The sequence below is a fragment of the Homo sapiens genome, chromosome 19 (genome assembly GCF_000001405.40).
Source record: "Homo sapiens chromosome 19, GRCh38.p14 Primary Assembly".
In the NCBI taxonomy this organism is placed as follows: Eukaryota; Metazoa; Chordata; class Mammalia; order Primates; family Hominidae; genus Homo; species Homo sapiens.
Genome location: NC_000019.10, coordinates 17,307,296 through 17,334,909, shown reverse-complemented (window position 1 = coordinate 17,334,909; position 27,614 = coordinate 17,307,296). Strand labels below are relative to the sequence as shown.

Sequence of the window (27,614 nt, the reverse complement as noted above, 5' to 3'; positions counted from 1 at the left end):
GGCGGGCGAACTCAGCTGAGAACCCTAGAGTGACGTGCATCGGGCCGGGAAGGAGAATCGAGGTTCGGCTCGGGCGGGGACGAGAAGCAGCGCTCGGGCGAGCGAGGACCGAGGCCGGCGCGGGCGGGCGCGGCCTTTGTCTCCTCCTCCCGCGCGCTCCGCGGCTGCACCGGCCCCATGAGCCCGCGGCTCCCCGTCGCCCGGGCCGTCCGTAGCCCCTGACCTGACCTGTCCTCGCCATGGCCGAGGCCGCCTCCGGCGCCGGGGGCACGTCCCTGGAGGGCGAGCGTGGCAAGAGGCCCCCGCCGGAGGGCGAGCCTGCAGCCCCGGCGTCCGGAGTTCTGGGTATGTGTGCGGCGGCTGGACCAGACAGGGTTGCAGGTGCCTGGGGAGCCCGCGTCAACTACACGGGGAGGAGGATCAGGGTCAAACGTAACCTGGCGTGGTGTCTGGACGAGGGGCCGGCTCCTCCCGGCACTGCGGCTGCGGCCCGGCGGGCGGGGCTGGGACGGTGCTTCGGGCTGGGGTCCCGGCGCGGAGACGCGGACACGCCCCTCCGAGAGCCCCAGGCTTGGGCTGCGCCCTGCCACCCCCGGGCTGCGGGATCGCGGCGGGCCAGGGATGTGCTTGAGAGAGCCTCTCCGCGAAGAATACAGAATCATACGGTCCTGGGTTCAAATCCCAGCTTGACTGTGTGACCTTGGGCGCGTGACTTAAACGCTCTGGGCCTCAGTTTCCTCACCTGTGAAATGGGGGTAAGAACCGCACCTAGTCCCTGGGGCTGCTGCAAGGACGGCGCTGTCATAATGTGGTGAAGCGCTCAGGGCTGCTAGTGAGCGCCCCATCGATTGTGGTTTTGGAGGCGGAGCTGGGCCTCAAGAATGAGTAAGATTTGTAAGGGAGGATCTGGGGGGAAGGGCATTTCTGGAGGAAGGCCTGGCTGGTACAAGGACGTGGAGGGAGGAAAATAAGCCAAGCCCAGAGCTCCCGGGGCCTTGAATGCCAGGTGGAGTGGTGAGGAGCCCTGGCGGGGGCAGGAGGAGCCAAGACTGGAGGCCGGGTCCGGATCCCAGAGTGGCCTGACCCGGGCCTGCTACGCCGCCCCCTAGATAAGCTTTTCGGAAAGCGGCTCCTGCAGGCTGGTCGCTACCTGGTGTCCCACAAGGCGTGGATGAAGACGGTGCCTACAGAGAACTGCGACGTGCTGATGACCTTCCCAGGTACCCAAGCCCGCCCGCCCGCCCGCCCAGTGCCCAGATGCGGCTCTCCTGAGCTCGGCTTCCCAGAACGGGAATACGTAGGAGGCCTTGGGCCCCCTCGTGGCAGGAGCCATCGGTCCCTGTGCCCCTTGGCAGACACGACCGATGACCACACGCTGCTATGGCTGCTGAACCACATCCGCGTGGGCATTCCCGAGCTCATCGTGCAAGTCCGCCACCACCGCCACACGCGTGCCTACGCCTTCTTTGTCACCGCCACGTATGAGAGGCGAGTCCCCTGTCCCTGGCCTCTCGCTGAGCCTGCCACCCGACTCCCCGCTCTACCAAGTGCCAACCATGCTATCCAGCCGCCCTGCGTTTGTCCCAAAGGCTGCCAGGTGCACCATCCTCAGCTCCAGGATGGTGGGCCGGGGCCTCCCTGTGAGCCCACCTCCTCCGCCTTCTTCACAGCCTACTCCGAGGGGCCGACGAGCTGGGTCTGCGCAAAGCAGTGAAGGCCGAGTTTGGCGGGGGCACCCGCGGCTTCTCCTGCGAGGAGGACTTTATCTATGAGAATGTGGAGAGCGAGCTACGCTTCTTCACCTCCCAGGTGAGGCCGGCTCTGGGCCCCCGCATGCATCCTGTGCCTATGAGTTCCCTGAGCTCACGCCCTCTTCCTCGCAGGAACGCCAGAGCATCATCCGCTTCTGGCTGCAGAATTTGCGTGCCAAGCAGGGAGAAGCACTCCACAACGTGCGCTTCCTGGAGGACCAGCCAATCAGTGAGCAGGGCGGGGTCAACACCAATCACAGGCAGAGAGTTGGGTGGAGCTCTTCAAAGACAGCTTATAGGAGCAGGAGGGCGGGGCCCAGATCCAACCAGTCAGGGGTTGGCAAAGAGTTAGGAAACCAATGAGCTAAAGGGGTGTGGCCTTAGCAAAAGGGTGGAGCTTATCTCCTGAGTTGGGTGGAGCTCTGAGAGGACAGCTTATCAGGACAGGAGGTCAGGGCTTATGTCCAACCAGTTAGGGGTTGGCAAAGGGTTGGGAACCAATGAGCTGAGGGGGCGAGGCTTTGGCCAAAGGGTGGGGCTTATTTCTGGGAGGTGGGTCCAGGAGAGGCCCTTTTCTGGGTTTGGGATAAAGTGGAGGCAGGAACCATGGACAGCACTCCACTTACAGAGTGGTGCGGCTCTGGGCGTTGGATTCCCCTCCAGGAAACTAGGCACCCAAGTTCACCTTCCGACAGCAAGTTTTTACCATTCCTCAGACGTTCGGGTCCACAAACTGAGCTTTATTTAAAGCAGGGGAACAGGCGCAGTGGCTCCCAGTACTTTGGGAGGTCCAGGCGGTAGCATCACTTGAGCCCAGGAGTTCGAGGTTGCAGTGAGCCATGGTAGCGCCACTGCATTCTGTCCAGCCTGGGTGACAGAGCGAGACCCTGTCTCAAACAAATAAATAAATAAAGTAAAAAATAAGGCCGGGCGCGGTGGCTGACGCCTGTAATCTCAGCACTTTGGGAGGCTGAGGCGGGCGTATCACGAGGTCAGGAGATCGAGACCATCCTGGCCAACATGGTGAAACCCCCATCTCTACTAAAAATACAAAAATTAGCCAAGTGTGGTTGGCGCGCGCCTGTAGTCCCAGCTACTCGGGAGGCTGAGGCAGGAGAATCGCTTGAACCCGGGAGGCAGAGGTTGCAGTGAGCTGAGATCGCACTACTGCACTCCAGCCTGGTGACACAGCTAGACCCCGTCTAAAAAAAAAAAAAAAAAAAAAAAGCCGGGCGCGGTGGCTCACACCTGTAATCTCAGCACTTTGAGAGGCCGAGGCAGGTGGATCACTTGAGGTCAGGAGTTTGAGACCAGCCTGGCCAACATGGCGAAACCCCGTCTCTACTAAAATACAAAAATTAGCTGGGCGTGGTGGTGGGCGCCTATAATCCCAGCTACTCCGGAGGCTGAGGCACGATAATCGCTTGAAGGTTGCGGTGAGCGGAGATCACGCCACTGCACTCCAGCCTGGGCGACAGAGTGAGACTGTCTCAAAAAAAAAAAAAAACATGGTTCCTCACCAGAACCCCACTCTCCCAGTTCCTTTACATTCTCCCCGCCTGCCCCTGCACCTACAATTTCTGAAGGAGAATCAGATCTTCTATCCGTCTAGAACTTCTCCCCTGGAAAGAGCTCTAGAGGTTTAAGAGCAGGCAAAAAGCTGTGACTTGGGTTTCAGACAAAGAGGGGCTAGCCAGGCTAGGCACAGGTGGAGGGGCGGGGATCACCTGTGCTCCTCCCTCCACAGTCCCGGAGCTGGCAGCACGTGGGATCATCCAGCAGGTGTTCCCTGTCCACGAGCAGCGTATTCTGAACCGCCTCATGAAGTCATGGGTGCAGGCCGTGTGTGAAAACCAGCCTCTAGGTGCTGCCTGGGCTGGGGGGTGGGAGGGAGTCCCAGCAGACAGGCAGGGGGTGACTGAGACCCACTTGTCCCCTGGCAGATGACATCTGTGATTACTTTGGTGTGAAAATTGCCATGTACTTCGCCTGGCTGGGCTTCTACACGTCGGCTATGGTATACCCAGCTGTCTTCGGGTCTGTCCTGTACACATTCACAGAGGCTGATCAGGTACTGGGCAGGGACCCTGCAAGGTCTGGGGGATCCAGAGGCGCCCTCCTTTCTGGACTGGCACAAACAATGACTCAACTCTTCTCTGCCACTCACAGACAAGCCGGGATGTTTCCTGCGTGGTCTTTGCCCTCTTCAACGTGATCTGGTCGACGCTGTTCCTAGAGGAATGGAAGCGGAGAGGGGCTGAGCTGGCATATAAGTGGGGGACGCTGGACTCACCTGGGGAAGCCGTGGAGGAGCCACGCCCCCAGTTCAGGGTCAGTTGGGGGCTGAGTCCAGGGTCATGGAGACAGGACAAAGGTAAATGGTGGGGGGCACTGCAGGAGCAAAGGCAGAGAGGTGTGAAACAGGATTGTTTCATCAAAGAGGGTATGCCAAACCGAGGCGGGCTCTGTGTGCTCCCCAGGGGGAGAGGTGGAAGTTGGATTTGAGGGACTGGGAACAGTGCCCTAGGTGGGTGACCTGAGAGGGTCACCTCCGCATGATGGAGGGAAATTGAGTTCTGAGGATAGGGAGGGGTGCAGAAGGCAGAGGTGGCCCCTCTGAGCTCATGCTGGGCCCGGTCTTTGCCCACCATCAGGGCGTGCGACGTATCAGCCCCATCACGCGGGCCGAGGAGTTCTACTACCCGCCCTGGAAGCGGCTGCTCTTCCAGCTGCTTGTGAGCCTCCCCCTGTGCCTGGCGTGCCTCGTCTGTGTCTTCTTGCTCATGCTTGGCTGCTTCCAGCTGCAGGTGACCCCCCATACCCTCACCCGCCCTGTCCTTGGTACCTAGCTCCACCTTGGGCTGAGCCCTGCAGCTGGGATGAGCCCTGAACCCCCTTCTCCCGCAGGAGCTGGTGCTGAGCGTGAAGGGGTTGCCCCGTCTCGCCCGATTCCTGCCTAAGGTCATGCTGGCCCTGCTTGTCAGTGTGAGTGCCGAGGGCTACAAGAAGCTAGCCATCTGGCTCAATGACATGGGTACGACCTGCCAGGGGGTCTCTGGGAGGAAGGTCTCCACTGCCCCTTGGGATCCCTGCCACCCTTGGGGGGACCGCGGCTGCCCCCTCACTCCCCCCCTTGGCCCCTAGAAAATTACCGGCTGGAGAGCGCCTATGAGAAGCACCTCATCATCAAAGTTGTCCTGGTGAGTCACCACCATCGGACAGGCAGGGGGACAACGGGGAAGCTGTGCCGTCTGTATGGGGCACAAGGAAGGCTCCAAGGAGTCGGGTGGGGGTGCAGGATGACCACCGCCTGCCTCCTTCCTGCAGTTCCAGTTTGTCAACTCGTACCTGAGCCTCTTCTACATCGGTTTCTACCTCAAGGACATGGAGCGCTTGAAAGAGGTGAGACCCCCGCCCCAGCGGCAGTCCCCCCTGCCCCCATGGCGGCCAGCGAGGGGCCAGACCCGGCACAAGGGGTCCAAGGGCTCTCCAGCCCCTCCCTCCCCTCCTCCATCCTTCTCTCCTGTCTGTCCGTCCGTTGTCCGTCGTCTGTGCGTCCTCTCTCTGCCTGTCGTCCCCCCATCTGTCCGTCCATCTGTCCGTCGGTCCCTTCACAGCTCCTGCTCGTCCTGTCCCTGTCCCAGAGCCTCGAGCGGCAGCTGCAGGCGGTGCTGGTCCCGCTCGCGGCCCTGCGGTTCCGCCTGCTCCTCCTCTCCCTCCGGGGCCTCCTGCTCGCGGCCCGGGCCAAAGTACGGGCAGGTGGCGAGCCCGTGGGTCCTCGCCGGGGTGGGCAGCGTGGCTGTGCTGGGGGCCTGGCGCGCCGAGCTGAGGGCGCATGCGCGGAGGGAATCTGGGGTCGGGGGCGGCCAGCAAGCAGGTGCAGGCGGCTGGGGGCGCACGCGGCCCAGTGCACCGACAGAGCCCGCGGTGGGGTGGAGACGCGCTGGGCCTGCCCGTGAGGTGGGCGAGGAGCGCTGCGCGTGCCAGGCTGTATTTTGTGGCTGAGCGCTGGGGGCCTCGCGTCGAGGCGCGTCCAAAGCAGCGGAGTTAGGAACCGGATTCGGCGTGTGTCTGGGCACGGTGCTCCGGCGGGGCGCCCAGGGAGGGTGAGTCCCCCGATCCCGGCGCCCCGCTTGCCCCCCACGCGCCTCTCTCCTTCCCCTTCCTGCCCCCAGATGCTGGCCACGCTGCTGATCACCCGCCAGTTCCTCCAGAACGTGCGCGAGGTCCTGCAGCCGCACCTGTACCGGCGCCTGGGCCGCGGCGAGCTGGGCCTGCGGGCCGTCTGGGAGCTGGCCCGAGCCCTGCTTGGCCTCCTGAGCCTCCGGCGCCCTGCGCCCCGCCGCCTCGAACCCCAGGCGGATGAGGGCGGGGGCGGCGGCAGCGGGGGCGGGGGCCGCAGGTGCCTCAGCGGGGGCTGCGGGGCGCCGGAGGAGGAGGAGGAGGCGGCGCTGGTGGAGCGGCGGCGGGCGGGGGAAGGCGGGGAGGAGGGGGACGGGCCTCCAGGGGGCAAGGAGGAGGACGAGGACGACGAGGAGGAGGAGGACGAGGAGGAAGAGGAGGACGAGGAGGAGGGCGAGGAAGGGGGCCTCCTGGACTGCGGGCTCCGGCTGAAGAAGGTCAGCTTCGCTGAGCGCGGCGCGGGGCGGCGTCGGCCCGGCCCAAGCCCGGAGGCCCTCCTGGAGGAAGGGAGCCCCACTATGGTGGAGAAGGGGCTGGAGCCGGGAGTGTTCACCCTGGCCGAGGAGGACGACGAGGCGGAGGGGGCTCCCGGCAGCCCTGAACGGGAGCCCCCGGCCATCTTGTTCCGCCGGGCCGGGGGCGAGGGCCGAGACCAGGGGCCCGACGGGGGCCCGGACCCGGAACCCGGCTCCAACAGCGATTCGACCCGTAGGCAGAGACGGCAGAACCGGTCGTCTTGGATTGACCCGCCGGAGGAGGAACACTCGCCCCAGCTCACCCAGGCAGAGCTGGAGAGCTGTATGAAGAAGTACGAGGTGAGGAGGGGGCGGGGCCTCGCAGGGGGCGGGGCCTCGCCGGGGACGGGACACACCGTCCGAGGGTGAAGGCCGTGGGGGTGGGAGTGGTGATAACAGGGCCATTGATGTTGGGATGCTGCAGGAGAGGAAGGCCTAGCCAGATACAGGAAGCCTCTGGGCTGGCTGAGGATGGGGACAGGCCCTGGGTCCACATGGGATAATCTGAGGGAGGCGGGCTCAATGGGAGAAAGATTGTCCCAGGGAAGAGGCTTCCAGGTCTGAGGCCCGCCCACTCGCAGGACACGTTCCAGGACTACCAGGAGATGTTCGTGCAGTTCGGCTACGTTGTGCTCTTCTCGTCCGCCTTCCCCCTGGCGGCGCTGTGCGCCCTGGTCAACAACCTCATTGAGATCCGCAGCGACGCCTTCAAGCTGTGCACCGGGCTGCAGCGGCCCTTCGGCCAGCGCGTGGAAAGCATCGGCCAGTGGCAGGTGGGGGGAAGCCAAGAGATCCGAGCTGAGGCCCAGAGGGAGCCCAGGTGCAGCTGGGAGGAGCCTGGGGTCTGGGGAGGCCGGCTGGACCCCGCCTGAGCCCTCCTGCCGCCCTGCAGAAGGTGATGGAGGCCATGGGTGTCCTAGCGATTGTGGTCAACTGCTACTTAATCGGCCAGTGCGGGCAGCTGCAGCGCCTCTTCCCCTGGCTGAGCCCGGAGGCAGCCATCGTGTCGGTGGTAGTGCTCGAGGTGGGGCCGGCGACAGGGGCGGGGGCAGCTGGGAGGCGAGAGGGCGGCCCCAGCGTCTGCAGCCTGCAGCCTCCTCTCTGCCACCCCTGCAGCACTTCGCTCTGCTCCTCAAGTACCTCATCCACGTGGCCATCCCCGATATCCCGGGCTGGGTGGCCGAGGAAATGGCCAAGCTGGAGTACCAGCGCCGCGAGGCCTTTAAGGTAGGGGGGCCAGGCTGGGCTCGGTTTTCTCATTGGTGGGGCTGCTGGTGGATCTCTGATCTTGGTGGCCAATTCCTTAGCGTAAGGGCAAATGCAGAGACTGCACAGAGCTGGGTATAATAATTAGTGCTCCCTGGCTGGGTGCAGTGGCTCACTCCTATGATCCCAGCGCTTTGGGAGGCCAAAGTGGGAGGATCGCTTGAGCCCAGGAGTTTGAGGCTGCAGCTAGCTATGATTGCGCCACTGCACTCCAGCCTGGGTGATGGAGCAAGACCCTGTCTCTAAAAAGAGTAATAATAAGCAATAATAACTAGTGTTCACAACGGGTCCAGTCGCTTCTGGAATCCTGGCAGCATCCAGCACGAGGCTGGCCCTTCAGAACCTTCAGCCATCCACCAGCTTGCCCGATTGCATCCTGTTAGGGGGCCAGGGACACAGCGGAGGCTTCCTAGAAGCGCAGCTTCTTCCGCATTCCTCAGAAAGCTACAGAATGGGCCAAGGAGCTCCCCAGTGCCTGCACAGGGAACATTCCTCGAGGATGACAATGTCCTTTGTCTGCACTGTCCCTGCAGCCTTTAGCTACAGGTGATAAGTGAGCACGTTGAAGTGCAGCTGCTGCGACCGAGAAACTGAATTTTTATTTTATTGAACAGAGCCTCGCGTGGCTACCTGGGTATAGTCTGCTGCAGCCATAGTCCTTTTTGTTTTTGTTTTTGTTTTTTCTTTGAGACAGAATCTCTCTCACTCTGTCATCCAGGCTGGAGTGCATGGAGTGCAGTGGCACAATCTCGGCTCACCGCAATCTCCACCTCCCAGGTTTAAGCAATTCTCATGCCTCCCAAATAGCTGGGATTACAGGCATGTCCCACCACGCCTGGCTAATTTTTCTATTTTTAATAGAGATGGGGTTTCACCATGTTGGCCAGGCTGGTCTCCAACTCCTAACCTCAAGCAATCTGCCCACCTCCCAAAGTGCTGGGATTATAGGCGTGAGCCACCGTACCCAGCCTGCAGCCACGGTTCTGTCTCTTGCCTGTTCTCTGGGAAGCAGGGGATCGGTTGAGGCTCAGGATTGGTTTCCACTTTACCAATTCCTAAGACGCTGTCTGGCACACAGCCGGGGACAGAGTTGATGGCCAGTGAATGTTTGTTTTCTTTTCAATTCCCAGAAAGTACCGGCGTGGGTCCAGGGATTCATTCAGTTGCACCCAATAAGCCTCGGAATCTCTCTCCAGTTCCCCAGAGAACCTCAGTGTGGGCCCAGAGATGAAGCTGGCGCCCAATACGCTTTTTTTCTTTTTCTCTTTTTTGAGACAGTCTCGCTTTGTCCCCAGGCTGGAGTGCAATGGCACAATCTCAGCTCACTGCAACCTCCGTCTCCCGGGTTCAAGCGATTCTCCTGCCTCAGCCTTCCGAGTAGCTGGAATTACAGGCGTGTGCCACCATGCTCAGCTAATTTTTATATTTTTGGTAGAGACAGGGTTTTGCCATTTTGTCCAGGCTGGTCTCGAACTCCTGGCCTCAAGTGATCCTCCCATCTCAGCCTCCCAAAGTGCTGGGATTACAGGCGCAAGCCACTGCGCCCAGCCCCAATAAGCATTTAAGCCTCCCTCATTTCCACAGAGAGGCTGATCATGTATCTGGGAATGCCGTTTGCACCCAATAAGTGATTGGCTCTCTCCCACTTCTGCAGGGAGCCCCCATTGTGGGTGCAGGGATACAGTTGGAGCCTAATAAGCATTTAAGTCTCCCCCACTTTTGCAGAGAGCCCTGGCATGCACCAGCCTCAGCTGGCACCCGCTAACACCCTTTCTTCTTAGTCCTGTAACGGCTTGGCTCTACCTGCAGAGACACGAGCGCCAGGCCCAGCATCGCTACCAGCAGCAGCAGCGCAGGCGGCGGGAGGAGGAGGAGCGACAGCGCCATGCAGAGCACCATGCCCGGCGGGAGCATGATTCTGGTGGCCGAGAGGAGGCGAGGGCCGAGGGCTCTGGGCTGGACCCTGCCACCTCCTCCGAGAAGGCCTCTGCCAAGGCCAAGGGCAGCACTGCGGGTGGCCACGGGCCTGAACGGCCCAAGCGCCCAGGGTCCCTGCTGGCACCCAACAACGTCATGAAGTTGAAGCAGATCATCCCACTGCAGGGCAAATTCCTCTCGTCAGGGGCCACATCCTCACTGGCTGCTGCAGGGGCCGGAGCCACCACCCGGCCTCCCCCTGCCCAGTCACCCACAGGCAGCGACACCCGCCTGCCTGCCTTCCTCAGCTTCAAGTTCCTCAAGTCACCCGAGACCCGGCGGGACTCTGAGCGCAGCCACTCACCGCCCAAAGCCTTCCATGCTGGCAAGCTCTTCCCCTTTGGTGGCACCCGGGCTGAGCCTGGGTCCAACGGGGCGGGCGGGCAGGCCCGGCCAGATGGGACCCCCAGCAGTGGCAGCAGCCGGGTTCAGAGGAGTGGGCCGGTGGACGAGGCCCTGGCTGAGGAGCTGGAAGCCCCCCGGCCCGAAGAGGAAGGCTCAGGTCACAAGCTTTAACTCGGGGGTGGGGACGCCGGGCCGGCTTTGGGGATAGGGTAGGGTGGCCAGGCCTGGGGAGAGGGGCTGAAGGGGACAGGGGAAGCCCGGTCTTAGGTCCTGGTGGGGACCTGGGTCAGTGGTACGTGGAGCCTCTCAGTTAAAGCCTGCTTAGTATCTCCAGGGCCTTTGTTAGCCTGGAGCCCCGTGCCTGACCCTCCCCAGGGAGGGATGCCAAAGCCCCTTGTCCCAGGACTGCACCCAGGGACCCCCACCATGCTCCGGTGCCAGGAGAGATGAGGGAGGCCTGTTTCCCAACCAGCCCACCCTTCTCCTGCTCCAGCTCACTCTTGGGGGGGACTTGACCCCCCAGGCCTCTATGCAAATCCACACCCTGCAGCCCAGCTGTTCAGGAAGGCCTTCCTCGAGGTGGGGCTGGGGCTGCCCACCCAGGGAGCTCCCACATGTGCTGAGCAGAGGTGCAGGCCTCACCCCTACCCTCCCACCCCCACCACCTCCCCTGCCCCAATCCCAGCCTGGGCTCCAGCAACCCCATTCCCAGGGAGCCCAACAGGTGGCAGCTGCAGCACAAGGGCCATAGGTCAGAAGCCAGAGGGACTTCCTCAAACTGTCCTCCCCCTGTGACCGGCAGGGCCGTGCCCAGAGGCAGGGTATGCACCGGAAGCCGCCCAGGGGGCCGCCCCACCTCAGTCTCTGATCAGAAGCAATAAGGCCTTTATGTGCCTGGATGCCCGGGAGGGAGCGCGGGCAGGGTTGCCAGCCCGGCGGGGTCCGGCGGGGGCGGCATCCCCCCGGAACGGCCCCTCTCGCCTCCGCAGGGACAGCGCTGGCCCCCGTGGGCGCCCCTGCCCTCCGCACCCGCCGCAGCCGGAGCCCCGCGCCGCCGCCGCCAATGCCGCTGCCCCGGCCCCCGACACCGCCCGCAGGCTGCTGGCAGTGGGACGGGCCCTGGGGCTGCGGGGGCGAGGGTGCCGCCCCCCGCCAGGCCCTGGCCGCTGCCGAGTGCCCACCCTGTGCCATGGCCGGGCCCCCACCCGCCCCCCAGCCCCTGCCGGGAGACGCCAGCTTTTACAGCCTCCCGCCCCCACCGCTACCGCCCACCTCGGATCCCCTCGAGACCCCAGCGCCCTCCCCTAGCCCCAGCCCCAGCCCCCAGGCCGTGTGCTGGCCCAGCGGCTGGCATTAGCTCTACCCGCCCTGCCTTCTCTTCTCATATGCAATATCAGTCATTCACAGGGGCGGCCGGTCTCCAAAATGCAAAATGCGCTTCAGCCCCCGAGGGCCCCCAGTATTGGTCGGTGCCCCCCATCTGCCGTTTTCCTTTCCAAACGAAAGGAAACCCACAAATCCAACAGAAAACACACACACACACACACACACACACACACACAGAACAGGCGATTATTTATTTGTTTTTAATTTATTTTGTCATATTTTTGTAAAACGGCAGAAATGCAATAAAAACTATATTTCAACAGTGCCCGAGGTCAGAGCAGTGGAAAAGGGAGTGGGGGTGGGGGAGTCTGGGTGGCTGGGGCCTAGGTTGGGAACCCCCTCCCCCCATCCTGGTACAGGCTGGCTTGACCCATGAGGGCCTCCTCCCAAAAACTGGGTCTTGGCCACAGATGGAAAACTCCAGGCTGCGCCGCCTCTGAGACGGCCCAGATTTGGAGGCCAACTTCAGCCCTGGCTTCAGCCACTAGACAAAGGAAGGAATCTCTAAGTGCTGAAAAGAGGCGACAATGTGTGCACAGGCCCCAGTCCTGAGTAAGACTCCTTCTCAAAGAGGACAGCGCGGTGGTTTGCAAGACGTGGCCCCTTCTGGCACACCCGCCTCCTGGAACATCGTCTGGGGAGCCAGAGACAGTGGGAAGAGCTTGTGGCATGAACATCAGAAGGCACCTGGCACCTGAGCCTCCTGCAGTCCCCGACTTGTGATACTGAGAGAATGGCACATTTGGGTGTCCCCAGGACACGGGGTGGCATTGGGATGCAGCAGGGATGTCCCACTGTGGGACAGACATCAGACCCAAGTCACTGGGACTCTGTCGTATGACTCAGGAACAGGAACGTGGCCTCTCAGACCCTCACATTTTTCAGGAAGAGGACAAATGTGTCCACATCCAAAGGCTTAAGGCTCAGAGACCAACATGGCCATGCTGCAGGGCTGGGCCAGTGTGAGCAAGGGGCCCTTTGGGAGGCTGTGGAGAAGTCAGAGTTCACTGGAGGCAGGAGAACAGCCTGTGCAAAGGCGGAGAAGGTGGAAGGCAGTTTGGGGGAACAGTGGGGTAAAGGGGACCCCAAAGGCAGGAGGGGTAGACAGAGGCCGGCTCAGGGGCCCAGCGTCCTCCCACAGGCAGTGGGAGCTACACAGGGTGTGTGTGCCAGGTGGGGCATGTCCCGACAGACCCAGGGGTTCTAGGGGGAGGCCACAGGGAGGCAAGCTGGGGCACAGCCCTCAGACCCCAAAGGAGGGAGCTGAGGTAGGGGAGGGGAAGGAGGTGCCCGCCCAGCAGCCCTGCAGAGCGACGGGCAGACAGCACAGGCAGGAGACAGCCCCCAGCCACTCAAAGCAGAAACTGGGAGCCAGAGAGGTCTAGACAGGCCGAGGGGAAAGGCGGGAGTGCCCCCTGCTCCCACTCTGGCCCCTGGCCTTGGAAGCTGAAGTCCCACCATCTCAGTCATTCACAGATGGACACCGCAGGCCTGCCCAGGTCACACCAACCCTGGGGACTGGGACTCCCCAGCTGGCCTGGGAGCCTCCAGGGCATTCAGCCGGACCCGGCACCATCGACCGCAGTCAAGTGTGCATTTCCTGACCACCTGTCCTGTGACCACATGGCCCCTGTAGCACCATCACTGTGGTGTAGACACTGCCGGGAGCTGGGAGGTACAGCAGGGTGGCTGTGCTGTGCCTGGGCCTGGTCAGCCACTCCTTGTGTAGGACGGGAGCCCACCCTGGCACTCTCCGTCCTTGGGAGAGATGGGCCGCCTAGGCCCGAGGGTCTGACACAGGCAGGGCCCTCCACAGTGGAATCTGGGGCAGGCGGACCCTCCATAGCCCGGAGTGTCTGCTAGCTCTGTGGCCCAACCCTACACCATCCCAACGCCCTCAGACTCAGCTCTCAAAACAGAGACCTCTGCCAGGCACGGTGGTTCACGTCTGTAACCCCAGCACTTTGGGAGGCTGAGGAAGGTGGATGACTTGAGCCCAGGAGTTTGAGACCAGCCTGGGCAACATGGTGAAACCCTGTCTCTACAAAAAATTTTTAAAATATTAGCCAGGCAGCCAGGTGCGGTCACAGCACTTTGGGAGGCCGAGGCAGGCGAAGCACCTGAGGTCAGGAGTTCGAGACCAGCCTGGCCAACATGACAAAACGCCGTCTCCACTAAAAATAGAAAAATTAGCTGGGTGTAGGGGCGCACGCGTGTAATCCCAGCTACTCAGGAGGCTGAGGTAGGAGAATCACTTGAACCTGGGAGGCAGAGGTTGTAGTGAGCTGAGATCTTGCCACTGCACTCCAGCCTGGGAGACACAGCGAGACTCCATCTCAAAAAAAAAAAAAAATTAGCCAGGCATGGTGGTGGGTGCCTGTGGTCCCAGCGGCTTGGAAGGCTGAGGTGGGAGGAAGGCTTGAGGTCGAGGCTGCAGTGAGCTGTGATTACGCCACTGCACTCCAGCCTGGGAAAGAGTACAAGACCCCAACTCAAACAAACAAACAAAACAAAACAAAAGAAAACTGAGATCCCCACCACCACCAGTGGGGGCAATAAGGGGAGAAGCGGTGTTCCCCCAGCCCCAGGCTCAGTGGTCAGGGCCACAAACCTTCTGCCCAGAGCCCGAACACCCCTACATACCCAAGCTCAGCCCCAAACCCAGCCCAGCTGGCGGAAGAGGGGTCCCCATGAGCGGCCATGGCACATGCCAACTGCCAGGTGCCAACCTTCTGTACAGCTCCTCTATGACCCAGCAAGGGTGAGGCCACCACCTAGGACAGCAAGACCGGCCAGATGCCGTCTGTACTGTCACCATGCCTCAGGGGAGCAGCAGAGGCCAGAGACCCCAGGCCCCCGGATGAGGCCGGCCATCTCTGCGGTGTCTGACAGGTGCGCTGCCCTGCTTGGCGGTATCCCAGGCAGGGGGCTGACCCCGCTCCATCCTTGGCACCATGGACCGTCTCTCAGGAATGACCTGTCCTTGGGGTCACCTTGACAGGAGAGGCAGAGGGGATGGTCCAGGCAGGTCTTGGCCTTGAACATGGTGGCCTCAGCAAGCCCACGAGAGAATCCAGCCGGTCCTGGGGCCCCTGGCGTGGGGGGCCCTTCTCACTCCTCTTGGTGACAACAGGGATGACTCCCAGGGGCTCCGTCCTCTGCAGCCAAGGTGTGTGGAGCAAAGACGCGAGGTCAAGTAGGAAAGACCCTTTTATTGGGGTGGACACGGAGCACGCACTAGTCCATGATAAAAATAAAATGACTCAAGAGAAAGATCCCAAGGGCCGACTTCTCCCCAACGTGCGTGCACGCTGAGTGAGGCCTGGGCATGGGAAAGTTCCGGGCGAAGCGTGGGACAAGACCGAGTCTCAATGGCCTGGACCGGTGTTGGGGGGGAGAAGGCCACTCGGCTGTCCTGGTAGGTCAGGCCACCCCGGGCCCGCCCCTGTCGCCCGGCCACAGTAAAGCCCCCGCTAGAGACTCTCACAGACACACTCTGGTTCTCTGGAGAACTGGGGGCAGGAATCGGGGAACTGGCCCGATGGAAGGCGGGGGTCGGGGGGACAATGTTGTTTTTTTTAAAAAGCATCTACCAACATCACACTACTGGGTCTGATGTCCCCTTTAACCAACGCTTGATACAGGTTACAGCATAAATAAAAACTCAAGGAAAATAAATACATCGGCTCCTATGAGGTTGGAAGTGGTGTGGACGCAGGGTGTGGATGGGCCGGCAGGGAGGCGGGCGGGCGGGGTGCTTACACATGGCGGGCAGGCGGGTGGGCGACCGAGGAGCAGACCTGGCAGGAGGCGCCTGTGGAGTTGAGAGTCTTAAGTGTCCTCGTGCATGTCTGGGCTGTCGGTCCGCGCCACCTTGCGGGGAGGTGCGGAGCTCTCGCCTTCCAGCTCCACTTGCTCCTGGTCTCTCTTCTTGGCAGCGTTCTGGGGGACAGGGAAAAGAGAGGGGCTGTGAGTCTTTTTTTTCGGACAGCCTCAACCTTCTGGGCTCAAGCAATCCTCCCAGCTCAGCCTCTGGAGTAGCTAGGACTACAGGCACATACCACCACGCTTAATATTTTTACTTTTGGTAGACATGGGGGTTTCACTATGTTGCCCAGCTGGAGGCTGTGAGTCTTCACGTGGGTGAAGCTCCCAGAGTCATAATGCCAGCCCAGGCCCCTGCAGCAGCATCACAGAGGTAGGCCTGGAGTACAGTGGGGGGCCCCAGGGTCCCTGGCTAGGCAGCCCCTCCTACCACCAGGACCTGCCCCACTAAGCCCTGCCCAGAGCACTTTCTGGACCCATGCCTGGTGATAGACAGGTGTTTCCTGGCACCCGGAGTCACCCCCACCACATGCAATGACCCACACAGGGCTGGTTTCTCAAGCACTCAGAGGAGCAACCCACCCAGCCTGGGAATAAAGGGCCTTTGGAAGCCACTGGGGATGCCGCACATCAACGCAAGACAGAAGCACACGCCTCCTTCCCCGCTGTGGAAACCAAGTCCTGGGGGGCAGGAGAAGGGGTGGGGGTGGGCCCAGCAGCTTGGATTTTCAGAAGCAGTCACTTTGCCACACAGTCCCCCGACCTTCCAACTTTGCGCAGGGTAGGCAGCCACCCACTGTTCAATGTTAGGTAAAAAAAAAAAAAACAAACTTGCCAGGCGCGGTGGCTCATGCCTGTAATCCCAGCTACTCTGGAGGCTGAGGCAGAAGAATTGCTTGAACCCAAGAGGCGGAGGTTGCAGTGAGCTGAGATCACGCCACTGCACTCACTCCAGCCTGGGCAACAGAGAGACTCCGTCTCCAAAAAAAAAAAGAAGGCCAGGCGCGGTGGCTCACACCTGTAATCCCAGCACTTTGGGAGGCCGAGGTGGGTGGATCACTTCAAGTCAGGAGTTCGAGACTAGCCTGGCCAACATGGAGAAACCCTGTCTCTACTAAAAATACAAAAATTAGGCCAGGCATGGTGGCTCACACCTGTAATCCCAGCATTTTGGGAGGCCAAGGCGGGTGGATCACCTGAGGTCGGGAGTTCAAGACAAGTCAGACTAACATCGAGAAACCCCGCCTCTACTAAAAATACAAAATTAATCAGGCATGGTGGCACATGCCTGTAATCCCAGCTACTCGGGAGGCTGAGGCAGGAGAATCGCTTGAACCCAGGAGGCGGAGATTACAGTGAGCCAAGATCGCGCCACTGCACGCCAGTCTGGGCAACAAGAGCAAACCTCCATCTCAAAAAAATAAATAAATAAAATAAAATAAATTAGCTGGGCATGGTGGCGCGTGCCTGTAATCCCACCTACTCAGGAGTCTGAGGCAGGAGAATTGCTTGAACCTGGGAGGTGGAGACTGGGAGGAGGAGGTTACAGTGAGCCGAGATCACGCCACTGCACTCCAGCCTGGGCGACTCCAGCCTGGGTGACAGAGCAAGACCTCATCTAGGAAAGGAAAAAGGGGGAAAAAAAGGGGAAAAGAGGGGAAGGGCAGGGCAGGGCAGGGCAAAAGAAAATGAAAAACGAAAAAGAAAAAGAAGAAAAATATCCCGTGTGCAGAGGCAGCCTCTGGGAAGGGAGCTGGGGCACCAGAAGCGGGAGGCGGGAGATGACTCTTCGCTGCAACTACACCCTCTTATTTTTATTTTCTAGAGACAGAGTCTGGTTCTGTTGCCCAGGCTGGAGTGCAATGGCATGATCATGATTCACTGCAGCCTCAACCTCCTGGGCTCAAGCGATCCTCCCACCTCAGCCTCCTGAATAGCTGGGATTACAGGAACATGCCACAGCCAGCTAATTTGTTTTTTTTTTTTTTTTTTTTAGTGATGGAGTTTTGCTGTGTTGCCTAGACTGGTCTCAAACTCCTGGCCTCAAGCCATCTGCTTGCGTCAGCCTCTCAGGCAGTTCCGGGTGTGAATCACCACACCCAGCCACACCCTCACATGTTACCTAGATTTCTTTTTTTCTTTTTTTGAGATGGAGTCTAGCTCTGTCGCCCAGGCTGGAGTGCAGTGGTGCAATTTCAGCTCACTGCAAGCTCCACCTCCTGGGTTCACACCATTCTCCCGCCTCAGCCTCCCAAGTAGCTGGGACTACAGGCACCCGCCGCCACACCCAGCTACGCGGCTAATTTTTTGTATTTTTAGTAGAGACGGGGTTTCACCGTGTTAGCCAGGATGGTCTCGATCTCCTGACCTCATGGTCTGCCTGACTCGGCCTCCCAAAGTCCTGAGATTACAGGCATGAGCCACCGCGCCCGGTATAGATTTCTTTTTTTCTTGAGACCGCCCAGGCTGCAGTGCAGTGGCATGATCTTGGCTCACTGCAATCTCTGCCTCCCAGGTTCAAGCCATTCTTCTGCCTCAGCCTCCGGAGTAGCTGGGATTACAGGCGTGCGCCACCATGCCCAGCTAATTTTTGTATTATTAGTAGAGATGGGGTTTCACCATGCTGGCCAGGCTGGTCTCAAACTTCTGACCTCGTGATCCGCCTGCGTAGGCCTCCCAAAGCGCGGGGATTACAGGTGTGAGCCACCACGCCCAGCTGAGATTTTTAATCATGTGTACACATTTCACCATTCAGAAAAGATTTTTTGTTTTTTTTGTTTTTTTTGAGATGGAGTCTCGCTCTGTTGCCCAGGCTGGAATGCAGTGGCCCTATCTAGGCTCACTGCAAGCTCCGCCTCCCAGGTTCACACCATTCTCCTGCCTCAGCCTCCCAAGAAGCTGGGACTACAGGCGCCCACCAGCATACCTGGCTAATTTTTTTTTGTATTTTTTAGTAGAGACAGGGTTTTACTATGTTAGCCAGGATGGTCTCGATCTCCTGACCTCATGATCTGCCCACCTTGGCCTCCCAAAGTGCTGGGATTACAGGCGTGAGCCACCTCACCCGGCCTTTTTTTATTTTCTTGAGACAGTCTTGCTCTGTCAACAAGGCTGGAGTGCAGTGGTGCAATCTCGGCTCACTGCAACCTCCGCCTCCCTGGTTCAAGCGATTCTCCTGCCTCAGCCTCCCAAGTAGCTGGGATTACAGTCACGTGCCACCACGCCCAGCTAATTTTTGTATTTTTAGTAGAGACGGGATTTCCCCATGTTGGCCACGATGGTCTCGATCTCCTGACCTCGTGATCCGCCCGCCTCAGCCTCCCAAAGCGCTGGGACTACAGGCATGCGTCACCACACTCGGCCTCAGAAAATATTCTATCTAGTTCATACCAATACAGTCTACCTAATGCCAGAGCCATGGAAAACTGGGCCTGGCGGCTACTTGGGCCTGGCCTCCAGCCTCCTGAGCACTGGTGTCCTGTGGCCTCTGCACAGCGGTTCCCTCCACTGGAACGCTCTTCCCTCTCCTGGATCGCCCAGGGCACTCCTACCCAGCCCTCAAGGCCCTGCTCCAATCACTAGAGTCCTTCCTGTGCTCAGAAGCCCCTGCCAGGTGCCCAGTCTCTGTCCACCCACAATCCCTGCACCAGAGCCCTGTGGGCCTCACCTTTTTGTCCCATTGCTGATGCAGGTAGCGCAGGAGGATGTTTGTCTTTTCTGTCACGATGACTAAGGAGGAAAGATAGAGAAAGTCGCAGACGCCTCCCCTCCCCAGGCTCCTCCCCTGACACTGCCCTGGGAGGTCTTTTTGGGGCTGGAACTCAGTACCCCCAACTCCAGAGATCTCCAAAAGTCCCATGTTTTTGCTTCTGAGCACACTCGCAGCTACTCCCAGAGGCCTGAGCCAGCTGCTTTCAGGGTCCCGGCTCCCTGCAAGGGATTCCACCCTTGGTGGGGGACCAAGCCCCGCAACTGAGACTCTCATGCCTATGTTTCTCCCAGGCTGACTAGGAGCACATACCGCATATCTGTGCCCAGTGACCACACAGTCCCACCCCACAGGCTCCAGATGGATAAATGCTTTAAGAGCAGGGTCTCACTCTTGTCACCCAGGCTGGAATAATCATAGCTCACTGCAGCCTGGAGCTCCTGGGCTCAACTGATTTTCCCACCTGGGACTATAGATGCATGCCACCACGCCCGGCTAATATATATATATATATATATATATATGCACACACACACACACACACGTATGTATATATATAGTGTGTATATATATACGTGTGTATATATATAGCGTATATATATAGCGTGTATATATATACGTGTGTATATATATAGCGTGTATATATATACACGTGTGTATATATATAGTGTGTGTATATACACGTGTGTGTATATACACGTGTGTGTATATACACGTGTGTGTGTATACACGTGTGTGTATATACACGTGTGTATACACGTGTGTGTATACACGTGTGTGTATATACACGTGTGTATATATACGTGTGTGTATATATATGTGTGTATATATACGTGTGTGTATATATATGTGTGTATATATACGTATATATATGGTTTTTGGTGAAACAGGGTCTAACTATGTTGCTCAGGCTGGTCTCGAACTCCTGGCCTCAAGCAATCCTCCTGCCTCAGCCTCCCAAAGTGCTGGGATTACAGGCGGGAGCTACCCCACCTGGTGTGGAGTCTTTTTGAACAGTTAAACTAAGACAGCAAGACCAAGTCCTCCTGTGCTGTGGGCCCCTTTGCCTGGACCCCCTTCCCATCACTGCCACCCAGGCTTGGCTGGATCCCCAGCCCAAGCCCCTGTAGCCCTCTGCTGCCTCTCTGCCCGATAGCACTTGTCTTAGAACCAGAGTTCTCGCTTGACCTCATCTGACAGGGAGGGGAAAGGACCAGTGAGTGGCAGATGAGGGACAACTTGGGGGCCCCTTTGGGCTGGCTGTGGATCCCAGTGTGTCCCAATCAAGAGACACCTGGGGAAAGCCAGGTTTCTGGCTGTCCCCAGGGGCTGGGAGTGGACAGGCATCCACGTGTGCATCCCCAGGCTGAAGCCCCCAAGGTCCCCCTCCTGTACCTCCCTGGAGGCCCTCCCTGACTTAACTGGATTCAGTAGACAGCGTGTGAACCCAAGCCAAGTCTATGGCCTGGGCCGGGGTTGAAGATAACCTCCGCGTGCCACGCTGCAGTCACCAAACCCCGCCCCTCAGCAGCCAGAATGGGACAGACTGACAGCGGCCACTTACTCTGTTCAGACGGGTACTCGCGGGTAGGCAGGTAGACTGAGGGCCGTCGGTTCTGCAGGAGGGTTGAGAAGGGGTGGGTTAGGAGAGTGCATGGGCCTGGGGTCTCCTCATCCCTCCACTCAGCACCCACCCTTCAGTGCAGATTGGAAGACACTCAAGTATGTGGATGGGGCTGGGCTTGAAGATCAGCCTCTGTTCCAGCCAAGACCCCAATCGGGGGACACAAGCTGCCCCCAGGCCCCCTGGAAGTGACCAATTCCTCCCAGTCCCAGGAACACGCACTCACCGAGGCTTTGCACACGGAGTCCGCGTGAAATCGACTAAAATTGCTTTTGTTGTAGACAGGCAGTCCTTTCAAAAAATCTGCCTAGAAGACATGGAAGATGGTACATGAGAAAACAGGCAAGGGCCAGCTCATCCCTGGAGCACCTGCAGGGTGACTGCTGGGTTCCTTCTTCCCACTATTCTTTGTAGTTCAAGTTTTCCAGAACACACCCTTGAGCTGGCTGCTGGATACACTGTCGGGACCACAGAAAAGTAACCAGGCCAGGCTATGTGCACATCCCCCACGGGATCCTCATGACAGCCCCCTAATTAGGTGAGAGGTGGGGAAATTGAGGCTGCAAGAGAACAGGCCACTGGTTAAAAGTCATACCGCAGTGGCTCCCGCCTGAATCCCAGCACTTTGGGAGGCCGAGGCGGGCGCATCATCTGCGGTCAGGAGTTTGAGACCAGCCTGGCCAACATGGCAAAACCTCATCTCTACTAAAAATATAAAAATTAGGTGGGCGTGGTGGTGCGCGCCTATGATCCCAGCTACTCGGGAGGCTGAGGCTGGAGAATCGCTTGAACTCGGGAGGCAGAGGTTGCAGTGAGCCATGATTGTGCTACTACACTCCAGCCTGGGAGACGGAACCAGACTCTGTCTCAAAAAAAAAAAAAAAAAAAAAAAAAAAGCCATTTTCAATCCAACCCTGTGAGTGAGGTCTGGAGTGGGCCAGTGGTGGGACTGTCTGCTGCGAGTCTCTCCACATGGCTTGCCCTGAACGGGGCCCTCCTGAGCTCACTATGTATGATCTCCTGACCCAATGGGGCAGGAGGTAGTGTCTCCCTATCAAAGGCAAGGACACCGAGGCAGAGAGGTTACCCAGTCTCAGTCAGAAAACCAGGGGGCTGATTTGAACCCACATGTACCCCACCTCAGAAGCCAAGCTCCTTCTCTTCATCACACACCTGAAAAGCAAAAGCCAGAGCCCCTGCAGGCTACAGAGCTGGAAGGGAAGGCCATCCCCTGATGCCTGAGGCCCAAGAGAGCTGCCCTGGGAGAAGCTGCTATTCAGACAATTTCCCACCACCCTCTGGGACAGGCAGGAACAGCAGTGTCCCCAATTCTATGACATCTGGCCCCTCCTCTGCTGGTCCCTCTCGGGAAGCCGGAATGTGGCTGGGTGGGCCTCCCCCTCCCACCCGGGAGGCAGCCGTCACATCTGGATGACCTACTGCCCCAGGACCTGTTCAAAGTCCCTCAAACCTGCCTCCCCTCCCACCCTAGGATGCCAGCCTCAGCTCAGCACCCGGCTCTGGGGCCAGCTTCATTCATTCAGCAAGGTCTTCTGGGGCCCTAGCAGGCACCAGGGCACTGGACTGAGCCACCATGGCCACGCGCCTGGCCTTGAGATGGTGTGGGGCAAAGAGCTGCACAGTGCACAGGAAGCGGCTGCAGGACAGGGTGCCTCGAGGGCGCAGTGTGAGGTGCAAGGCAGAGCTCTGGCCCATTTAGGGGATAAAGGAGGGCTGCCCAGACGCAGGGATGCAGGCACTGAGACCTGAAGGGTGAGGAGGGGTCCCTGTCCCCCTTCGCAGCCCTGGCCCAGCTTGCCCCTGCTGGACTCCCATCATACACACCCTCTGCCACACACACCCTCTAGGAATGCCCCTCATGCCTCCATGTGGCAAATACCTGCTAACCTCCCCACCAGCTCCAACACCCTCCCTGGCCCCTTTGTTCCCCCGACACTTCGGGAGCCTCTCCCAGAGCCTCCCTCACACCCCGGCGAGGTCATCTGCTTACATGTCCACCTCCCTGGCTGGACTGGTACCTCCCCAAGGGAAGAGGACAGGACAGGGCTGACTGAACCCTGGCCGGGCTCACACAGGGCCCGGTGGCTGAGTGGCGAGAGGTGCAGGTACTCCGGGCATTCTGCTCTCAATCCTGGCTTAGCCCGTCCCTGGTTGTGTGACCTGGGACGAGGGACTTCCCAGCCTCTGGGCCTCCCTGTGAAGAGACGCATTCCAACAGGGCCACCTCCCAGGGTTACTCTGAGTCATAAGACAACAAGGGGAATGCTTTGCACAGAGCTCCCTCAGGGGCAGCCTTTAGGATCAACATGTCTGCGTTGGACAAATGAATGAAGGCAGGGTACGTGCAGCCTTCCTGTCATGCTAAGCTGGAAAACAAGGCCTCGAGACATGGGGGCAGGGGGTGGGGGAGGCCTCATTCCAGACAAATGCCAGCCACGGCTGGGCCCTCACAGGTGCCTCAGCAGACACGCACTGGACACCTGTGTGCCAGTCCCACTGCAGGTAGCCTGCCAGAGACCCAACAAAGAGATGAGAAAGAGAAGCAGTACACTAATAGCAGAGAACTGGGGGCCCCCCAAAGTCAGGAATGACCTCGATCACAGGAGGAAGAGTGTTCCGAGCAGAAAGAGCAGCAGGTGTAAAGGCCCTGGGGTAGCAGGAACCTGGAGTGTGAGGAAGTGAAAACAAGGCCAGGGTGGCTGAAGCTCACAGACAGAGTGGAGAAGAGAGTGGAGATAAGGTCATAGAGGTGGCCAGGGGCCTCAGGGTGAGGAGGGGAGCCGCCAGGGTTCCTGGAGCATTTTATAGGCTAGAAAGTGGTATCATTTGATGCACATCTTTAAAAGCTCCTTCTGGCCGGGCGCAGTGGCTCACACCTGTACTCCCAGCACTTTGGGAGTCCGAAGCGGGTGGATCACAAGGTCAGGAGTTCAAGACCAGCCTGGCCAATATGGTGAAAACCTGTCTCTACTAGAAATACAAAAATTAGCCGGGCATGGTGGTGGGTCCCACCTACTTGGGAGGCTGAGGCAGGAGAATGGCTTGAACCCAGGAGGCGGAGGTTCCAGTGAGCCGAGATCATGCCACTGCACTCCAGCCTGGGCGACAGAGCAAGACTCCATCTCAAAAGAAAAAAAAAAAACAACCTCCTTCTCAGGCCCCATGCAGTGCCTCACACCTGTAATACCAGCACTTTGGGAGGCTGAGGCAGGATCACTTGAGCCCAGGAGTTTGAGACCAGCCTGGGCAACATAGGGAATCCCCATCTCTCCAAAAAGTACAAAAATGAGCCTGGTGTGGGGATCTCTTGAGCCTCCAGTCTGGGCGCCAGAGTGAGACCCTGACTCCAAAAAAAAAGTTCCTTCTGGTTCAGGTGAATTATGAACTGCCAAAGGGGTGAGAGCAAGGCTAGGAGACCAGGGAAGAAGCTGGGACAGGTATGCAGGTGGGAAGTGGCAGTACCTGCAACAGGGCATGAAGCCATGGATGAATTCAGGTGTGTTCAGAAGGCAGAGACAATCTAATCCACTTATGATTGGCTGTAGGGATGAGACTGTACCAAGGTATCAAGGACAACTCCCAGGCTTGGGGACCCGCACACTAGGAACCCACCTTCCCATTTCCTTCCTGAAAGGGAGTCTTCCTTTCATCCCCACCACATCCCAAGGACTGTGGATTGTGGGCTGGGACTCTGGGTCAGGGGACAAAGGAGACTTGAGGTATCTTGACCAAGCTTCCCATCACCCTTCCCAGCCCTCAGGATGCCAACTAATGGGGGTTGTGGAGAGGCTTTAGTTCCACTCTGAGGGTGGGTCACCATCCCACTTTTCAGGTGGGGAGACTGAACCCCGAAGAACCACCAGACCCAAATTCCAGGATGACTGAGGAACCCTGAAGGAATTTCAACCTTCCAACAGCCAGGTGGGGACGATCCACACTTCATAATGAGGGGACAGCTAGAAGAGAACGTCACTGGCCTCGAGTCACCCAGCTCATCTGTTGAGCATTCACTATCCTGAGTCCTTTACGACGTCAGTTACCTAAATTGTCACCACCCTAAGAGGTTCAGACTACTGCTACCCTCATTTCACAGGGACAATCCATGCGGATCGGAGATAAAAGTTTTTCATTCTTAGAGGCGGGTAAGGGCCCAGAATGGTGGAGGTGGGGTCAGGGCCCGGGGAACCGGGACAATCGGCGATGTCGCACTTCCTTTGGCGACAAAGCCCTGCATATCGCGGTGCCAAGCCCCCTCCCCCGCCCCGGGGCCCAGGCCGGCCTCCCAAATTCTCCTGAACTGAAGAGATCCAGGTCCGGCGTGCTGAGAACGAGGCCAGACCAGGGGGTCTTACGGGACCCCATCCCCACCCCAGACGATTTCCGGGGGGAGCCGCAACCCGGAAATGAATGAGTTGTCAGGGCTTGGTATCCTGGATGGGGTCAGGGGTCGGAGAAGGAGTGGCAGTGGGATCAGCAGGAAGCTCTCGGTAGGGTCCGGGGGTCGAAGGTCACAGGTGAGTGGGAGGGGCGGGCCGGACCTGAGGGGACCGGGCAGAACGGAGAGGGGCCTAGGGGGATACTAGAGGTGGGTGGGACCACAGCGCCATTTTGTCTAGCAGAGGGGGAGTGGGGGCCTGGAGGCCATCCTCACCATCTTCTGTTTCCTCCGTCGCCGCCTCGGCCGCCGCCTCAGCCTCCACCGCCGCCACCAGAGCCGCCTTCTTAGCCGCCGCCTCACAGTAACTTCCAGCCACGGCACAGCCCACACTGATGGCGCCACCACCTCCCTGTCATTGGTGTGCAGTCTAGCCCCGCCCCCACATAGGAGCGCTTTGCACGCTTCCATTGGCCGCATCCAGCTAACTCATGCGCCCATTGGTTGCCACGCCTCCTCCCATTGTGGTCAAGTTCGGTTGAAGAAGCAAAGCACCTCCCGGTACTTGGAAGCAATGAAAGTGAGATCCGGAAGTGGGCGGAGGCCTCGGCCGCGAAGTCTCTTGGGAGCTGTAGTTTACAGCTCCGCGAGGCTCTCTAGAGCTTTTGTGTGTCTGTGTGTTTTTAAGATGCGAGGTTCGGCCGGGTGCGGTGGCTCACTCCTGTAATCTTAGCACTTTGGGAGGCCGAGGCGGGTAGATCGCCTGAGGTCAGCAGTTCGAGACCAGCCTGGCCAGCATGGTGAAACCCCATCTCTGCGCCTGTAATTCCAGCTAGTAGGGAGGCTGAGGCAGGAGAATCACTTGAACCCGGGAGGCGGAGGTTGCAGTGAGCCAAGATCGTGCCATTGCACTCCAGCCTGGGCAACAAGAGCGAAAATCAGTCTCAAAAAAAAAAAAAAAAAGCCAGCCGGGCGCAGTGGCTCACGCCTGTAATCCCAGCACTTTGGGAGGCCGACGCGGGTGGATCACGAGGTCAGGAGATCGAGACCGTCCTGGCTAACACGGTGAAACCACGTCTCTACTAAAAATACAAAAAATTAGCCGGGCGTGGTGGCGGACGCCTGTAGTCCCAGCTACTCCGGAGGCCGAAGCAGGACAACGGCGTGAACCGTGAGTGAGGCGGATCTTGCAGTGAGCTGAGATCGCGCCACTGCACTCCAGCCTGGCGGACAGAGGGAGACTCTGTCTCAAAAAAAAAAAGGCGGGGCACGGTGGCTCACGCCTGTAATCCCAGCAATCCCAGCACTTTGGGAAGCCGAGGCGGGCGGATCACGAGGTCAGGAGTTTGAGACCAGCCTGGCCAACATGGTGAAACCCCATCTCTACTAAAATACAAAAATTAGCCGGGCGTGGTGGCGGGCGCCTGTCATCCCAGCTACTCAAGAGGCTGAGGCAGGAGAATCGCTTAAAACCAGAAGGCGGAGGTGTCAGTCAGCCGAGATTAAGCCACTACAGTCCAGTCTGGGCAACAAGAGCTAAACTCCCTCTCAAAAGAAAAAAAAAAAAAAGACACAGGGGTCTTGCTATGTTTCCCAAGCTGGTCTCGAACTTCTGGCCTCAAGCAATCCTCCAGACTTGGCTTCCCAAAGTTCTGGGAGCCATCGTGCCGGCATCTTCTTGTGTTTATTACGTTTTTAAAGCAGCCCTAGAAGATAAGAACCATAACACTCCCTAGCTCCTCCTCGACACCGTCTTGCTCAACCACCTCCCGTAACTCCCTAGTATTCAATCCCACCTCCTTGGCCCCATTTATGGGCACCTGCGGTCTTCATTGCCCACCTGTGTCCTCACCTCTAACCAATTCCTTCTATGTCTGGGCTCTCCCAGACCTTGCCATTTCCTCCAAGACTTCCCTGACTGCATTCTTCAAAAAGGCAAGTCAGGTACCTTCCCTGAAGTCCTACAGCCCTCACAATCCCCCTCCCAGCCCTGACACCTCTGTGTCCAAACTGCCTTCCTGACTTCCAGGGCAAAGAATGGGCACCCAGCACACAGCAATTGCACAGTGAAGTTGCTAAGTGGAAGCTACTAAGTATTATTACTCCAACAGCAACAGAGCAGAGGAGAAACCAGCACTGCATTTTATAGGCGACAAATGCACCTCACAGTGTTAAATTCTTGCTCAAAATCAAACATCCCCAAGGGACAAGTGGAAGATTCAAACTCCTTATGGGCTGGAGTTCAAGACCAGCCTGGTCAACATGGTGAAACTCCCCTCTACTAAAAATACATAAATTAGCTGGGCGTGGTGGCATGCACCTGTAATCCCAGCTACTTGGGAGGCTGAGGCACCAGAATTGCTTGAACCCAGGAGGCAGAGGTTGCAGTAAGCAGGGATCCGACAACTGCACTCCAGCCTGGGTGACAGAGCGAGACCCTGTTTCAAAAACAAACACCCCCCCGCACACACACACAGTTTTCCACCAGTCTTCCCAGACCTATAAAATTTATGACACAGGCTGGGCATGACGGCTCACACCTGTAATCCCAGCACTTTGGGAGGCCGAGGCAGGCAGATCACCTGAGGTCAGGAGTTCGAGACCAGCCTGGCCAACATGGTTGAAACCCCGTCTCTAC

At 58.8% G+C, this 27,614-nt stretch overlaps 2 protein-coding genes across 4 annotated transcripts, besides 19 other annotated features; one reads left to right on the top strand and one right to left on the bottom strand.

Moving 5' to 3' along the window:
* On the top strand, positions 55-11,687 carry ANO8 (anoctamin 8). 2 transcript variants are annotated; one of them, XR_936199.4, is made up of 18 exons: positions 55-345; positions 1,110-1,220; positions 1,356-1,488; positions 1,671-1,809; positions 1,884-1,980; positions 3,499-3,615; positions 3,695-3,822; positions 3,921-4,082; positions 4,406-4,558; positions 4,659-4,785; positions 4,896-4,951; positions 5,079-5,153; positions 5,927-6,748; positions 7,030-7,221; positions 7,341-7,472; positions 7,565-7,675; positions 9,524-10,857; positions 11,026-11,687. XR_936199.4 is itself a non-coding variant. In NM_020959.3 (18 exons), exons 1-18 carry the CDS (start codon positions 240-242, stop codon positions 11,391-11,393), a joined length of 3,699 nt encoding a protein of 1,232 aa, NP_066010.1. In that variant the 5' UTR covers positions 55-239; the 3' UTR covers positions 11,394-11,687. The 2 variants fall into 2 exon arrangements, 1 of the variants encoding a protein (NP_066010.1); NM_020959.3 differs by having other exon boundaries at positions 9,524-10,193.
* Positions 113-552: a silencer, noted in NCBI's record as "silent region_10340". NCBI's record gives its function as "represses an Ori minimal core promoter by ATAC-STARR-seq in GM12878 lymphoblastoid cells {active_cell/tissue: GM12878}" and the evidence as "EXISTENCE:reporter gene assay evidence [ECO:0000049][PMID:35858748]".
* Positions 4,917-5,444: an enhancer, noted in NCBI's record as "H3K27ac-H3K4me1 hESC enhancer chr19:17440275-17440802 (GRCh37/hg19 assembly coordinates)". NCBI's record gives its function as "activates a minimal SCP1, AML or CMV promoter by ChIP-STARR-seq in naive H9 embryonic stem cells {active_cell/tissue: H9 hESC(naive)}" and the evidence as "EXISTENCE:reporter gene assay evidence [ECO:0000049][PMID:30033119]".
* Positions 5,445-5,972: an enhancer, noted in NCBI's record as "H3K27ac-H3K4me1 hESC enhancer chr19:17439747-17440274 (GRCh37/hg19 assembly coordinates)". NCBI's record gives its function as "activates a minimal SCP1, AML or CMV promoter by ChIP-STARR-seq in naive H9 embryonic stem cells {active_cell/tissue: H9 hESC(naive)}" and the evidence as "EXISTENCE:reporter gene assay evidence [ECO:0000049][PMID:30033119]".
* Positions 5,950-6,109: a silencer, noted in NCBI's record as "silent region_10339". NCBI's record gives its function as "represses an Ori minimal core promoter by ATAC-STARR-seq in GM12878 lymphoblastoid cells {active_cell/tissue: GM12878}" and the evidence as "EXISTENCE:reporter gene assay evidence [ECO:0000049][PMID:35858748]".
* Positions 5,950-6,500: a biological region, named in NCBI's record as "H3K27ac-H3K4me1 hESC enhancer GRCh37_chr19:17439219-17439746".
* Positions 5,973-6,500: an enhancer, noted in NCBI's record as "H3K27ac-H3K4me1 hESC enhancer chr19:17439219-17439746 (GRCh37/hg19 assembly coordinates)". NCBI's record gives its function as "activates a minimal SCP1, AML or CMV promoter by ChIP-STARR-seq in naive H9 embryonic stem cells {active_cell/tissue: H9 hESC(naive)}" and the evidence as "EXISTENCE:reporter gene assay evidence [ECO:0000049][PMID:30033119]".
* Positions 6,501-7,029: an enhancer, noted in NCBI's record as "H3K27ac-H3K4me1 hESC enhancer chr19:17438690-17439218 (GRCh37/hg19 assembly coordinates)". NCBI's record gives its function as "activates a minimal SCP1, AML or CMV promoter by ChIP-STARR-seq in naive H9 embryonic stem cells {active_cell/tissue: H9 hESC(naive)}" and the evidence as "EXISTENCE:reporter gene assay evidence [ECO:0000049][PMID:30033119]".
* Positions 6,579-6,748: a silencer, noted in NCBI's record as "fragment chr19:17438971-17439140 (GRCh37/hg19 assembly coordinates)". NCBI's record gives its function as "represses an EF-1alpha promoter that drives an FKBP-Casp9 reporter gene in an ReSE screen in K562 erythroleukemia cells {active_cell/tissue: K562}" and the evidence as "EXISTENCE:reporter gene assay evidence [ECO:0000049][PMID:32094911]".
* Positions 7,030-7,557: an enhancer, noted in NCBI's record as "H3K27ac-H3K4me1 hESC enhancer chr19:17438162-17438689 (GRCh37/hg19 assembly coordinates)". NCBI's record gives its function as "activates a minimal SCP1, AML or CMV promoter by ChIP-STARR-seq in naive H9 embryonic stem cells {active_cell/tissue: H9 hESC(naive)}" and the evidence as "EXISTENCE:reporter gene assay evidence [ECO:0000049][PMID:30033119]".
* Positions 8,087-8,614: an enhancer, noted in NCBI's record as "H3K27ac-H3K4me1 hESC enhancer chr19:17437105-17437632 (GRCh37/hg19 assembly coordinates)". NCBI's record gives its function as "activates a minimal SCP1, AML or CMV promoter by ChIP-STARR-seq in naive H9 embryonic stem cells {active_cell/tissue: H9 hESC(naive)}" and the evidence as "EXISTENCE:reporter gene assay evidence [ECO:0000049][PMID:30033119]".
* Positions 10,059-10,559: an enhancer, noted in NCBI's record as "H3K4me1 hESC enhancer chr19:17435160-17435660 (GRCh37/hg19 assembly coordinates)". NCBI's record gives its function as "activates a minimal SCP1, AML or CMV promoter by ChIP-STARR-seq in naive H9 embryonic stem cells {active_cell/tissue: H9 hESC(naive)}" and the evidence as "EXISTENCE:reporter gene assay evidence [ECO:0000049][PMID:30033119]".
* Positions 11,347-11,396: an enhancer, noted in NCBI's record as "active region_14266". NCBI's record gives its function as "activates an Ori minimal core promoter by ATAC-STARR-seq in GM12878 lymphoblastoid cells {active_cell/tissue: GM12878}" and the evidence as "EXISTENCE:reporter gene assay evidence [ECO:0000049][PMID:35858748]".
* On the bottom strand, positions 11,612-25,347 carry DDA1 (DET1 and DDB1 associated 1). 2 transcript variants are annotated; one of them, XR_007067003.1, is made up of 6 exons: positions 25,253-25,347; positions 20,807-20,887; positions 20,521-20,572; positions 18,915-18,976; positions 15,185-15,364; positions 11,612-14,580 (listed from the first exon to the last, which is right to left on the bottom strand). XR_007067003.1 is itself a non-coding variant. In NM_024050.6 (5 exons), the coding sequence occupies exons 1-5, from the start codon at positions 25,253-25,255 to the stop codon at positions 15,254-15,256; spliced, it is 309 nt and encodes a 102-aa protein (NP_076955.1). In that variant the 5' UTR covers positions 25,256-25,347; the 3' UTR covers positions 11,612-15,253. The 2 variants fall into 2 exon arrangements, 1 of the variants encoding a protein (NP_076955.1); NM_024050.6 differs by having other exon boundaries at positions 11,612-15,364.
* Positions 12,938-13,554: an enhancer, noted in NCBI's record as "H3K27ac-H3K4me1 hESC enhancer chr19:17432165-17432781 (GRCh37/hg19 assembly coordinates)". NCBI's record gives its function as "activates a minimal SCP1, AML or CMV promoter by ChIP-STARR-seq in naive H9 embryonic stem cells {active_cell/tissue: H9 hESC(naive)}" and the evidence as "EXISTENCE:reporter gene assay evidence [ECO:0000049][PMID:30033119]".
* Positions 21,692-22,192: an enhancer, noted in NCBI's record as "H3K27ac-H3K4me1 hESC enhancer chr19:17423527-17424027 (GRCh37/hg19 assembly coordinates)". NCBI's record gives its function as "activates a minimal SCP1, AML or CMV promoter by ChIP-STARR-seq in naive H9 embryonic stem cells {active_cell/tissue: H9 hESC(naive)}" and the evidence as "EXISTENCE:reporter gene assay evidence [ECO:0000049][PMID:30033119]".
* Positions 22,193-22,693: an enhancer, noted in NCBI's record as "H3K27ac-H3K4me1 hESC enhancer chr19:17423026-17423526 (GRCh37/hg19 assembly coordinates)". NCBI's record gives its function as "activates a minimal SCP1, AML or CMV promoter by ChIP-STARR-seq in naive H9 embryonic stem cells {active_cell/tissue: H9 hESC(naive)}" and the evidence as "EXISTENCE:reporter gene assay evidence [ECO:0000049][PMID:30033119]".
* Positions 24,919-25,482: an enhancer, noted in NCBI's record as "H3K27ac-H3K4me1 hESC enhancer chr19:17420237-17420800 (GRCh37/hg19 assembly coordinates)". NCBI's record gives its function as "activates a minimal SCP1, AML or CMV promoter by ChIP-STARR-seq in primed H9 embryonic stem cells {active_cell/tissue: H9 hESC(primed)}" and the evidence as "EXISTENCE:reporter gene assay evidence [ECO:0000049][PMID:30033119]".
* Positions 25,032-25,131: a silencer, noted in NCBI's record as "silent region_10338". NCBI's record gives its function as "represses an Ori minimal core promoter by ATAC-STARR-seq in GM12878 lymphoblastoid cells {active_cell/tissue: GM12878}" and the evidence as "EXISTENCE:reporter gene assay evidence [ECO:0000049][PMID:35858748]".
* Positions 25,483-26,044: an enhancer, noted in NCBI's record as "H3K27ac-H3K4me1 hESC enhancer chr19:17419675-17420236 (GRCh37/hg19 assembly coordinates)". NCBI's record gives its function as "activates a minimal SCP1, AML or CMV promoter by ChIP-STARR-seq in primed H9 embryonic stem cells {active_cell/tissue: H9 hESC(primed)}" and the evidence as "EXISTENCE:reporter gene assay evidence [ECO:0000049][PMID:30033119]".
* Positions 25,572-25,761: an enhancer, noted in NCBI's record as "active region_14265". NCBI's record gives its function as "activates an Ori minimal core promoter by ATAC-STARR-seq in GM12878 lymphoblastoid cells {active_cell/tissue: GM12878}" and the evidence as "EXISTENCE:reporter gene assay evidence [ECO:0000049][PMID:35858748]".

Excerpts from the sequence above, each read along its gene's own strand:
- ANO8 (NM_020959.3), top strand. The coding sequence starts at position 240 with ATGGCCGAGGCCGCCTCCGGCGCCGGGGGCACGTCCCTGGAGGGCGAG. Across the intron at positions 1,221-1,355 it reads CGTGCTGATGACCTTCCCAG|ACACGACCGATGACCACACG; the intron begins GTACCCAAGCCC and ends GCCCCTTGGCAG. Across the intron at positions 4,952-5,078 it reads TCATCATCAAAGTTGTCCTG|TTCCAGTTTGTCAACTCGTA; the intron begins GTGAGTCACCAC and ends TCCTTCCTGCAG.
- DDA1 (NM_024050.6), bottom strand. Across the intron at positions 20,573-20,806 it reads ACTCCGTGTGCAAAGCCTCG|AACCGACGGCCCTCAGTCTA; the intron begins GTGAGTGCGTGT and ends ACCCTCCTGCAG. Across the intron at positions 18,977-20,520 it reads CGAGTACCCGTCTGAACAGA|TCATCGTGACAGAAAAGACA; the intron begins GTAAGTGGCCGC and ends TTTCCTCCTTAG.